At 41.1% G+C, this 12,682-nt stretch overlaps 1 protein-coding gene and 1 pseudogene across 10 annotated transcripts in view, besides 1 other annotated feature; one reads left to right on the forward strand and one right to left on the reverse strand.

Annotated features, from left to right (window-relative positions):
• The window catches only part of SYT16 (synaptotagmin 16), a 300,664-nt gene that overhangs the window by 11,291 nt on the left and 276,691 nt on the right, over positions 1–12,682 (forward strand). The window lies entirely within an intron of this gene.
• Positions 8,287–8,970, reverse strand: COX4I1P1 (cytochrome c oxidase subunit 4I1 pseudogene 1; annotated as a pseudogene).
• Positions 8,667–9,166: an enhancer, noted in NCBI's record as "H3K27ac hESC enhancer chr14:62298837-62299336 (GRCh37/hg19 assembly coordinates)". NCBI's record gives its function as "activates a minimal SCP1, AML or CMV promoter by ChIP-STARR-seq in naive H9 embryonic stem cells {active_cell/tissue: H9 hESC(naive)}" and the evidence as "EXISTENCE:reporter gene assay evidence [ECO:0000049][PMID:30033119]".

The raw sequence follows: 12,682 nt of genomic DNA on the forward strand, positions 1-12,682 counted from the left end.
ATGTGGTGGCTAATGCCTGTAATCCCAGCACTTTGGGAGGCCGAGGTGGGCAGATTGTTTGAAGCCAGGAGTACAAAACCAGCCTGGTCAACATGGCAAAAACCCATCTCTACTAAAAATACAAAAAAAAAAAAAAAAAAAAAAGAAGAATTAGCTAGGTGTGGTGGTGCACACCTGTAACCCTAGGTACTCGGGAGGATGAGGCAGGAGAATCGCTTGAGCCTGGGAGGTGAAGGTTGCAGTGAGTTGAGATGGCGCCACTGCGCTCCAGCCTGGGTGACAGAGCGAGACCCTGTCTCAAAAAACAAACAACAAACAGAATGTGATAGAAATCTAGAAACTGGACAGCGACTGACTGCTTTATGATACTGTTCCGTGCGACAATAAGCTGCTGATTGAATTCTTGCTTTAAGATGATTGTCTTAGAGTTTAAAATATGAAGCTATTCTCAAGAGTTTGGTTAATGGAAAGTACTGATTTGATTCCATGTCCCTTTCTTGAAACTCTGAACACTATTTGTAATCAACTTAAGACTATCCCACTCTTTATGAAGTCAGTTGGATCCTGGAGACAAACATTTTTATTTTATTGGAGAAAATTGGTCTATATAAAATGAATATAAAGAGAAGAGTCTGAACTCACTTTATTAAAAAGGGTTCTTTTCAGCACTGTGGCCCGAGTCCCATGCTGTTCTGTTTTCTCTTTGAAATCTTTGTCAATTCTCCCATTCAGAATCCGTCACTCATTTTATTCATATCTCCTATATACTTTTTCTTTTTTGGTCTTATTCTAGTCTATATTCTCCTTGAAGGAAAGAACTACTTCTGCAGATATTTCCTCAATTTTGTTTTCTATTGAATATGCATGGTGATGGCTTATATATAATAAGCATTTTATTTTATTTATTTATTTATTTTTGAGATAGAGTCTCACTTTGTCTCCCAGGCTGGAGTGCAGTGGCAGGATCTCGGCTCACTGCAACCTCCACCTCCCGGGTTCACACCATTCTCCTGCCTCAGCCTCCCGAGTAGCTGGGACTACAGGCACCTGCCACCACGCCTGGCTAATTTTTTGTATTTTTAGTAGAGACGGGGTTTCACTGTGTTAGCCAGGATGGTCTCAATCTCCTGACCTCATGATCCGCCCGCCTGAGCCTCCCAAAGTGCTGGGATTACAGGCGTGAGCCACCGTGCCCGGCTATAATAAGCATTTTAATGTTTGCCCAGTTCATTCTGTTTATCTGCTGTGAGGCTGCCATTTTTTTCCTGCATCCCATCCTTTACTTCAGCAGTTCCCAGAGTGTGAACTCAAGGTAATGGTGGTCCCTAAGACTTTTAGAGGGTCTGCAAGGTCAAAACTACTTTCATAATAATAAGAATGTCTTTTTACTCTCATTTTATTAAGTGTACACTAAAATTTGCAGAGGGGGCATGAGGAGCTATGACTTCATCACCATGTGGCTAATCGAACTTGTGCTTGTATATGCTTCTGTTTTAAAAATGTCTCATCTTTAATTTTGAATATGGGAAATATCAGTAAATAAAACAAAAACTAAAGTGCTTTGGGGTCCTTAAAATTTCAAAGTAGAAAAGAGCCCTAAAACCAAAAAAATGGAAAACTGCTTTTAGTCTGTCATAGGTTATTCTGGAACAAATCCTCCACTAGCATCTTGAAAAATGAAGTGTGATCCTTGGTGGTTCTTTCACATTTGAGATTGGGGCACCAAAACAGCTTGTAAGGGCAGGGTTGTGGGCTGCTTTACTTGCTGTGTCACTTCAGGGTGGTTATTCAGGATTCCATTTCACTGTGGCCCCCTCTTGGTATTTGTAGATGTAGTAAGTCTTCACTTAATGTAATTGATAGGTTCTTAGAACCTGTGACTTTAAGTGAAACAACATATAACAAAGCCAGTTTTACCATAGAGTAATTGAGGTAAACAAGAGTTAAATTCCTGGCTGGGGCTCATGCCTGTAATCCCAGCACTTTGGGAGGTGGAGGCAGGTGGATTCCTTGAACCCAGGAGTTTGAGACCAGCCTGGGCCACATAGCAAGACCTCGTCTCTACAAAAAGAATACAAAAATTAGCCAGGCTTGGTGGTGCGTGCCTGTAGTCCCAGCTACTTGGGAGGCTGAGGTAGGAGGATGGCTTGAGCCCAGGGACACTGAGGCTGCAGTGAGCTGAGATCATGCCATTGATTCCAGCCTGGACAACAGAGCAAGACTCTATCTTAACAGCAACAAAGACAACAACAACAATGAACTAAGTTTCTATGGTGTATTTCTGGTCACAAAACTTCTAAATAAAGACCCCAAGCCCTTTAATATTAAACATGGAAATAAATGTAAGCTACATATACATTTAAGAAAGATTAATAAAAACAAGTAAGATAATTATTTATCTAATTTTTGGTGAATCAGTGAGTAATAGTGGCTTATAGTGTGGTGGACCAAATCAATGAATTAACTTTTGCAGAGTGAAAATTGTCAGGAGCACTTCCTGCCACCCCATAGTTCAAAAAGCAAACAAGGGCTTGCTGAGTGCTTTCATAGTGCATCATTTATTTTTGTGCATTGGTATGATTATCATATACTTTATGAATTTTTATTTTATAATAATTTGTTTTTATTTCTTCATTCATTCTTCAACTCACTTATTCCCGTTCAGGGTTGTGGGTGGCTGGGGCCTGTCCTGGCAGCTCAGGTGCAAGGTTGGAACCAGCCCTGGACAGGATGCCATCCCATCTCAGGGCACTCACACACAGCCACACTCACTCACGCTGGGACCATGTGGACATGCTAGTTCGCCTCATGTGCACATTTTTGGGATGTGGGAGGAAACTGGGGTACCCAGAGAAAACCTATGCAGACATGGGCAGAACATGAACTCCACACAGACAGTGGCTCTGGTGTCAGGAATAGAGTGTTTTGTTCTCATCAATGTTATAACAAAACAACATTATTTGAGAACCTGCTGTATTTTTTCTGGGCCCAGTAATTTTCTTTACAGATGAAGATTCCAATTTCCTGTCTCTGTCTCTCTCCCTGAAAGTGCTCCTGGGCATAAGCCTAGTTGTCATTATTTTGCGAATCCAGGAGGTGAAGAGACCTGGCAGACTTCCCTTTTATTATCATGGACTTGTCCTGAATACTCCATTTTTGGTACAGAACCTCATTCTTGCCACGAGGGATGCGAGGTTTCCAAACCCACAGCCTCTCTGCTTTTATTTCTCCAGAGATTAAACAGAGATCCCTGTAGACTTGCTGCATTGGTCAGCTGGGACTCTCATAACAAGATACCACTGTCTGGGTGGCTTAAACAACACACACGTATTTTCCTACAGTTCTAGAGGTTGTAAGTCCAAGACTGAGGTGCCAGGAGGGTTGGTGTTTGCTGAGGCCAAACACAACTTATAAATACCCCAACCCCTTTTAATATTCCTGGCTTGCCGGTGGCACCTTCTTTCCGTGTCCTTACCAGGGTGGAGGAGAGAAAGCTCTCGTGTTTTTTCCACTCTGCGGAAGCCCACCAGTTCCATTAAATTAGAGTCCCACCCTTATGACCTTATTTAATTTGAACTACCTCTTTAAAGGCCCCATCTCTAAATACAGTTGTATTCGGAGGTAGTGGAGTCAGGGCCTCAACATATGAATTTTGGGGAACATAATTCAATCCATGACACTTAGGAAGGGAATAGTCCTCTGGCTTCATTGTTGGCTGCTGGATCTGGTGGAGGCTTGGCTCTCTGTACATCCTTTCTGCCAGTTCTCCTGTTTTCAGCCCTATCTCTGTTCCCCACCTTCTGAGGGAACAGGCACCTACAATGACAGAACCATTCTGGGATTCTGCTGCATGAATCAGCTAGCCTGTTGTGGCATTTCCCCTGTGTAGGTGCCTTGCAGAGTGAAGAAAGATGGTGAGACTTAGTTTCTGGCTATATCCTTCTCATCTTCCAAAAATGTGTTGATCTTTCTCATCTGCTACTGTTTCTCCCTTGCTCTTTTTGTCGATGTTGGTTTTTACCTTAAAAAAATACTTTTCTCTAAGAAATCTGAGGTGCAGCAATAGAGATAAAAGCATGTGTTCAGTCTGCCATTTTACACTGGAAATGAGTCATTGATAGAATAATCAATGCTATTATTGTTAACCAAAGGTACATTGCTGGGACAAGACCTATTGGTCATGATTTTTTTTTGGTTATTCTATTTCCCCTTCTCTATCTTATTTTGGATTATTTACACACTTTTGATATTTTATTTATTGCCATATTTTGTATGTTTTTAAGTGGAGTAGGAACTACACTGTACATACTGAACTTCTGTCTACTTAGAATCAATATTTCACCACTTCAGTGGAATATATAATTCTTACCACCATATAAGTCCCTTTATCTGCCCCTCTATGTTTTAGTTATATATTATATTCATATTCTCTGATGGGCCAAATTGTATACACCCCAAATTCATATGTTGATGTACTAATCCTCAGGACTTCAGAATGTGACTGTATTTGAAGCTAGGGTTTTTAAATAGGTAATTCAGTTAAAATGAAGTTAAAATGAGGTCATTAGAGCGAGCCCCAATTCAATATGACTAGTGTCATTGTAAGAAGAGGAGACTTGGACGCAGACACAGAGAGGATCATGTGAAGACACAGGAAGAAGATGGCCGCCTACAAGCCAAAGAGAGAGGCTTCAGAAGAGACCAACCTTGCTGGCACCTTGCTCTTGGAATTCTGATCTCCAGAAATATGAGAAAATTTTATTGTTTAAACCCCACAGTTTGTGGTACTTTGTTATGGTAGCCCTAGCAAATGAATACACATACTTTTTGCCTTCAAAAATCAAGCATGTTTTAAAGAATTCATGAGAAGAATGGTTTATTATGTTTACCAAGATATTTATCATCTTTGTTGCTCTTCTTTCACTCCTGATGATCCAGATTTCTCTTAATAATATTTCCCTTCTGTCCAAATAACTTCCTTTAGCAATTCTTTTAGAGTAGGATTGCTGGCAACAAGTTTTCTTAGTGTTCCTTCATCTAAAAATGTCTTGATTTCCCTTTTGATCTTGAAGGACATTTTCACTGATATAGAATTCTGACTTGACAGTTGCTTTATTTTAGCACTTGAAAAATGTGCTACTTCCACCCCAACAAAATAATCATAGGATCTGAAAGTGTGGTGCAGACTTGGTAGAAATGGAAAAGAAGAAAAACACACAGAGTTATACAGATTGTTCTGAGTGTAAAGGAGAATTGGATCCTATCTGATACCATAAACATATAAATTTGAATACACATCTCAGATCCACTATGTGCAGTGACAGTTTGTCCTTTGGCTGAGGGTGAAGACCCTGAGTACTCTCAGAGACAGACAATACAGATCAAATTCTTTTTCCTTATTCTCTCTTTAAGGCTATTCCTAACACTGTTAGGCCCAAAGCATGTGCACAATCATGGAAATGTTAGGGAAAACACCACCACCAACTGGACCAGGAACAAAACACTGATCATAAAGTCTATGGGCTTAGACAGACATTTGAAAAAGATAAGAACTGTAATGAAACAATAAGCCATTATAAACCCAATGCTATTTTGCATTGGAGAATATGTTATATTGGACAAAATAAAGTTTGCTAAAACCTATTTCCTCATTTTTATAATAGTATCTACTATTTAGTGTTGTATTTTATGAGTGATATTTTAGTAGACTTGTTGGCATTCTGCTTGACATATATTTAAGTATAAATCTATTAATATATCACAAAAGAAAAAGTGCCACTTCCTTCTGGCCTCTATGATTTTAGATGTGGAAATCCACTGTCATTTGAATTGTTATCCCACTGTATATACTTTATCATTTCTGTCTGACTGCTTTCAAGATTTTTTTATTATCTTAAATTTTCAGAAATTTAATTATGATATGTCTGGGTATGGATTTCTTTGGGTTTCTCCTGTTTAAAGTTTAGTTAGGTTTTTCAATCTCTAGATTTATGTCTTTCCCCAAATTTGGGATATTTTTATTATTTCTTGAAATAGTTTCTCAGTCCTGAATTCTTTCTCTGATCCTACTGAGATTCTGATAACACAAATATTAGATTTTTTTTTGGTTATTGTCCCACAGCTCCCTGAGTCTTTGTTCATACCTTCCTCCTAAACTTGTCTCTCTATTGTTCAGATTAGACAATTTCTATTGATATATTTTCTTTTCTTTTTTTTTTTTGAGACGGAGTCTCGCTCTGTCGCCCAGGCTGGAGTACAATGGTGTGATCTTGGCTCATTGCAAGCTCCGCCTCCCGGGTTCATGCCATTCTCCTGCCTCAGCCTCCCGAGTAGCTGGGACTACAGGTGCCAGCCACCACGCCCAGCTAATTTTTTGTATTTTTAGTATAGACGGGGTTTCACCGTGTTAGCCAGGATGGTCTCGATCTCCTGACCTCGTGATCCACCTGCCTTGGCCTCCCAAAGTGCTGGGATTACAGGCATGAGCCACCATGCCCGGCTTTATTGATATATTTTCAAGATCACTGATCTCTTTCCTCTGTCAATTCTCTTCTGCCACTGAGCCCAGCTAGTGAGTTAAAAAAAAAATTAAGTTATTGTATTTTTCAGTTCTATTATTTTCAGTTTTATTCTTTATATCTTGAGTATTTTTCTGAGCCCACTGGTTTTTCCGTTTGTTTGAAGAGGGTTCATAATTTCTTGGAGCATTTTTATGATAACCGCTTTAAAATCCTTGTCATAAATTCCAACATTTGTGTTGCTTTGATGTTGGTGTCTGTAGATTGTCTTGTCTTTAAGATTTTCCCTGTTCTTGGTATGATGAATAACTTTGATGAATAACTTTGGATTGTATCCTAGACATTTTGAGTATTACATAATGAGATTCTGGTTTAGAGGCAATCAACCTGCTTGGACTCAAAATTCATGTCTTATTCACTTTTGTGGGCTGTGGCTTGAATGTCGATTTAGTTTTTATAGCCTTTGCCCTGCTATTCTGATCTGCTCTATATAGAGTGTTATCCATAGGTGAACTGAAACCTGTATGATATTTCTCACCGTAGTTCAGTTCCCAAAACTTTACTATGTTGACTCCGGTTGATTTCACACATGGACCATTTAGGGGTCTGCACAGGACTTCATACACAGATTGACAAGATTTCTTTATCCAGTCCTCTTTTCTCCATAATCCTTCCTCACTCTCTAGTTGAGAGGAGGTAGGGTGTTGCCTCTTGCTGTCCTTCAGTTAGTAAGTGCAGGGTGGTAGAGTGCTTCTCCCTACAGTCCATGGTGGGTTCTGTGGTCGCTATGCCATTGAAGAAGGGAAGGGGCACTGCTTCTTTCCCGATCTTGTCTTGGTTTAGGGCAGGAATGGTCAACAGAGCTCCAATCCATTCCAGTGAGGAGGAGAAGGCGTGCTACTTCTGCTGTTAGTGCCAGGCAAGGATGGTCAACAGGGCTCTTCACAGTGCCTGGTGAGGATGCAGAGAGATGCGGTTCTTTTGTGGTGTTTGCCTAAAATACAATGAGTATATTCACAAGGGTTCTGTCTTGCAGCACTGTCCTCTTCCACGTCCTTTGGCTAAGGGGATGGATTCTCAACTGGAGATAATTTTATTCCCCCAGATGACATTTGCCAATGTCTAAGACATTTTTGGTTGTCACAACTGGAGGGTTGTCACTGACATCTAGCCAGGGATGCTGCTGAATATCCTATAATACAGAGAACAAGATCCTGCAGCAGTTATCCAGCTCCAAATCAAAAGTGCCAAAGGTGAGAAACCCTGAGGGACAGAGAGCAGACTTTTCTTGAAGCTTTTTGTTTTTTGTACTTATTCCATCTTGTCCAGAAATGAGAGTCCCTTCAACATTTTAATGTATTACTTTTTAGTCCTTTATCATCTATCACTGATGAGAATTATAATTTATTTTTAGATACATTGTCTTCCTCCGGTTGATTTTAAGAATTTCTCTTTTTTTAATCTTAAATTTAACCATTATGGGTATAGGTGTGGATTTGATTTTATTTAGACATTTTCTGTCTTAATTCTCACTTTCTAATTCTGGAAAATTCTTAGTCATCTCTTTGAGTATTGTCTCTCTCCCATTCCCTTCTTAGACCTCTTTAAACTGCCATATGCTGAAGCATCTCTTTCTGTGTTTCTTATCTGTTAACTATTCATTGATTCATATTCATATTCTTTATTTCTCCTTTTTCCCTTCTCCACACCTTGTCTCTGGTACTTTCTCCAGATTTTTCTTTCACTTCAGTAGTTCTTTTTTTTTTTCTTTCAGGTAAACTGGTCATTTATTAGCAGTGGTACTGTTTGGCATAACAGGTTTCCAGTAAATAGGCATGGAGTTATAGTATGGAGGTGACAGAGCAAGGCTCAAAAGCAGGACAGCATCTCTCACTTCTTCCACTCGTTCTTGTCATAGTCCCACTTGGCTGGCGAAGCCCTGCAGGGGTTCACCTCATGTCCAGCATCCTCTTGGTCTGCATGGGCACCCACTCTTTGTCAAAGGTGTGCGGGATGGGGCCGTACACACAGCGCTTCTCCCAGATGATAATGAACGCCGTGAAGCCAAGGAAGAACATGGCAGCGCCCACAACCGTCTTCCACTCGTTCACGCCCCTGTTCATCTCAGCAAAGCTCTCCTTGAACTGAATGTGATACAACTCGACTTTCCCATCCGTGGAGCGGTTGCTCCAGGAGGCCTTCTCCTTCTTCTTCACGGCTTTCTGTCTGGCAGACAGGTGCTTGACATGGGCCACATCGGGTACGGGATAGTCACGTCGATCCACATAAGCTGGGAGCGCATAGTCATCGCTCTTCACAACATTTCCGTGTGCTCGTACAGACACCAAGGTGGAAATTGCTCGCTTGCCAACTAGGCTAACTACCCTGGTAGCCAACATTCTGCCGCAGCTGCCCCACCACCGCCGCCCTCTATGCCCGGTGTCCCGCGACCCCAGTAGTTCTTTTTTGTTTTTTTCTTTTCCGAGACGGAGTTTTGCTCTTGTTGCCCAGGCTGTGGCGCAGAGGCGTGATCTCAGCTCACTGCAACCTCCGCCTCCCGAGTTCAAGTGATTCTCCTGCCTCAGCCTCCCGAGTAGCTGGGATTGCAGGTACCCGCCACCATGCCTGGCTAATTTTTTGTATTTTTAGTATAGATGGGGTTTCACCATGTTGGCCAGGCTGGTCTCGGACACCTGACCTCAGGTGATCCGCCCACCTCGGCCTCTCAAGGTGTTAGGATTACATGCGTGAGCCACCGTGCCCGGCCCAGCCCAGTAGTTCTTTTTAAAGGTGGCTCTGTTATATTATTTAACCTAGCAATAGTTTTGTTTTCCACTAATAATATTTTTTATTTATAAAATTTTATTTGGTTATTTAAAATAAATCTATCCCTTTGCCAGAGTATCTTATTCCTTCACTATGGTTTCTAAATTATTTTAAAACTTGACTATTTTGTAGTCCGTTTAATTCATCTATTGTTTTCACTTCTTAAGGTGTCAATTTTCAGGTCTGCTGATTCACCCTCATGGTGATTCGTTTCCTCCTGTGTTCTGTGATATTTAATTGTGCTAGTTCATCTTCAGTGAGTTTTCCATAAGCTTTGAGCTGTAAAATTATTTATTTCAATCTCTGTCTGTAAGGACGGAGATTTTCATGTTGTGTTTACTGTATCCCTAGGAATTTTGGTGGTCCTGGATCACTTTTTATAGTAACAATTCATCTTGGAGTATTAAAAACTGTATGGAGGAAACATTTAGACCCCTCAACCTGTGCAAGTCCTAGATTTCTATTTCTCATGGCTCATGGGTGGCTTTTTTTTCTTTTCTTTTTTTTTTTTTTGAGACGGAGTCTTGTTCTTGTTGCCCAGACTGGAGTGCGATGGCTCGATCTCAGCTCACTGCAACCTCTGCCTCCCGGGTTCAAGCGATTTTCCTGCCTCAGCCTCCCGAGTAGCTGGGATTACAGGCATGGGCCACCATGCCCATCTAATTTTGTATTTTTAGTAGAGACGGGGTTTCTCCATGTTGGTCAGGCTGGTCTCGAACTTCTGACCTCAGGTGATCTGCCTGTCTCCAAAGTGCTGGGATTACAGGCGTGAGCCACCGTGCTTGGCCAATTTTTGTATTTTTAGTAGAGACAGAGTTTTGCCATGTTGGCCAGGCTGGTCTTGAACTCCTGACCTTGTGATCCCAAAGTGCTGGGATTACAGACATTAGCCACTGCGCCCAGCAGTGGCTTTTTTTTTTTTTTTTTTTTTAAATTTAAATTTTAAACTCAAGGACCAGGGCACTCAGCAGCTTCCTCGCTCTTTCTTTGCGCTAGCGAGCAGGCTGTGTACAGTTTCCTTTTTACTTACAGGACTGTTCTTTAAGGTGCAGGGCTTTATTCCTGCAGGGAGTTGGAGGTGGAGCTTCCAATCCTGTTCTTTTTCCCTGTGGAGTCCCATAGCCTCTAAGTCTGAAACTAAATTTCCAGTGGATTGCTGAAGCTCTGGCTTTGATTTTTTTTTTTTTTTTTTTTAAATTTTGGAATCTGGGAGATACTTGTTCTTTGGAAGTAATTTTGCTTATTGGTTATATTTTATTTAGAATTTCCATGTGTTTTTAGTGGGAAGGATGCATCCATATCAGCTCTGTATACTACACGGTTAAATGTCCTGATTCACATTTATTTTTTTTGAGATGGAGTCTCCCACTGTCGCCTGGGCTGGAGAGCAGTGGTGCGATCTCGGCTCACTGTAACCTCCACCTCCCAGGTTCAAGCAATTCTCCTGCCTCAGCCTCCTGAGTAGCTGGGATTACAGGCACCTGCCACCATGCCTGGCTAATTTTTTATATTTTTAGTAGAGACAGGGTTCCATCATGTTAGCCAGGTTGGTCTTAGACTCTTGGCCTCGTGATCTGCCTGCCTTGGCCTCTCAAAGTGCTGGGATTACAGGCATGAGCCACCGTGCCTGGCTTTTTTTTTTTTTTTTTTTTTTTTGAGACAGAGTCTTGCTCTTGTTGCCCAGGCTGGAGTGCAATGTGGTGTGATCTCGGCTCACTGCAACCTCTGCCTCCCGGGTTTAAGTGATTCTTCTGCCCCAGCCTCCCAAGTAGCTGGGATTACAGGTGTGCGCCACCATGCCTGGCTAATTTTGTATTTTTAGTAGAGATGGGGTTTCACCATGTTGGCCAGGTTGGTCTTGAACTCCTGACCTCAGGTGATCTGCTTTCCTTGGCCTCCCAAAGTGTTGAGATTACAGACATGAGCCACTGCACCCAGCCCTGATTCACATTTGATATACCAGATCACCCATCCATCTATCCAGTTGTACTGGTATATAAATACTGTTTGATGCTCTGAATTGTTCTCTCTTAAAATTATTCATTAAACACACTGCTGTATTCCAATTACCTGTTGTTTGAAAAAGATGTGTGTTGATATATGATGGTATATAGCATAGCATTCCCATAAAACCAGGCATGTGTTTGGGAATATTTGTTTCCAAAGCACTTGTTTTAGTTTCATTAAGGTCTTAAAGAAACTTACCTTTTTATAAATCCTGACCTTTTATACCCACTTTGCATATGAAGATATTAAGAGAAATTGTTGCATTGTTTGCTGTGATAAGACATTTTCAAGGAAGAAGGCAGTGTGTGCTGATTTATAGCTTTAAGAACAGCAAAAAACAGTTAATAGGCTGCTACTTTGAGCAGCACTGACTAGTGGAGTAATGTGTATAAGGACCTGCCTTTTCAATAAATAGTACACTGTAAATGTTGTCTCATGAAAGGTGAATTTTTTTTTTTTTTTTTTTTTTTTTGAGACAGAGTCTCACATTGTCGCCCGGGGAAAGAGTGCAGTGGCGCGGTCTCGGCTCACTGCAACCTCCTCCTTCTGGGTTCAAGTGATTCTCCTGCTTCAGCCTCCCAAGTAACTGGGATTACAGGCGCCTGCCACCATGCCCAGCTAATTTTTTGTATTCTTAGTAGAGATGGGGTTTCATTATGTTGGCCAGGCTGGTCTCAAACTCCCGACCTCTTGATCTGCCCATCTTGGCCTCCCAAAGTGCTGGGATTACAGGCGTGAGCCACTGCGCCCGGCCAGGTGACTTTTTTTTTTTATGATTGATTTTATCAATCACCTTTTTATGGCCATTTAGGGATTTTTAAAAGATCAAAAAATACTGCCAGAATATTCCTGAAATTATCTTTTTACACTGTTTTCTTCTTCTGGGTGCAGAACTGCTGAGTCAAAGGATATACTCATTTAATATTTTGATGTTGCCAAATTTCCCTACAGAAGGATTGTACCAATTTATACTTTGATCAGCAGCACATTGATAACAAAATCAAACAAAACTTTTCTACAGAAATACATTTTAAACTATAGATAATGGAACAAAAATTTTCCTACCTGGCTCACAGAAACTTTTCCTGTCTTTCTCAATTTACATGTCCCAGGTGAGTAAGACCCACTCTCGTTGGCCTAGAACGGTGGTTTACAAAATATGGTTACTGGACTAGTAACGTTGCCATCACCGGGAACTTGTTAGAAATTTAATTAATCAGAACTTGTATCAGATCCACTGATTGAGAAACCTGGTGGAGCGTAGCAATCAGTGTTTTGATTAGCCCCCCAGGTGATTCTGGTACTTGCTAAAGTTTGAAAACCACTGGTCT

This window comes from Homo sapiens, chromosome 14 (assembly GCF_000001405.40).
Source record: "Homo sapiens chromosome 14, GRCh38.p14 Primary Assembly".
Classification (NCBI taxonomy): Eukaryota; Metazoa; Chordata; class Mammalia; order Primates; family Hominidae; genus Homo; species Homo sapiens.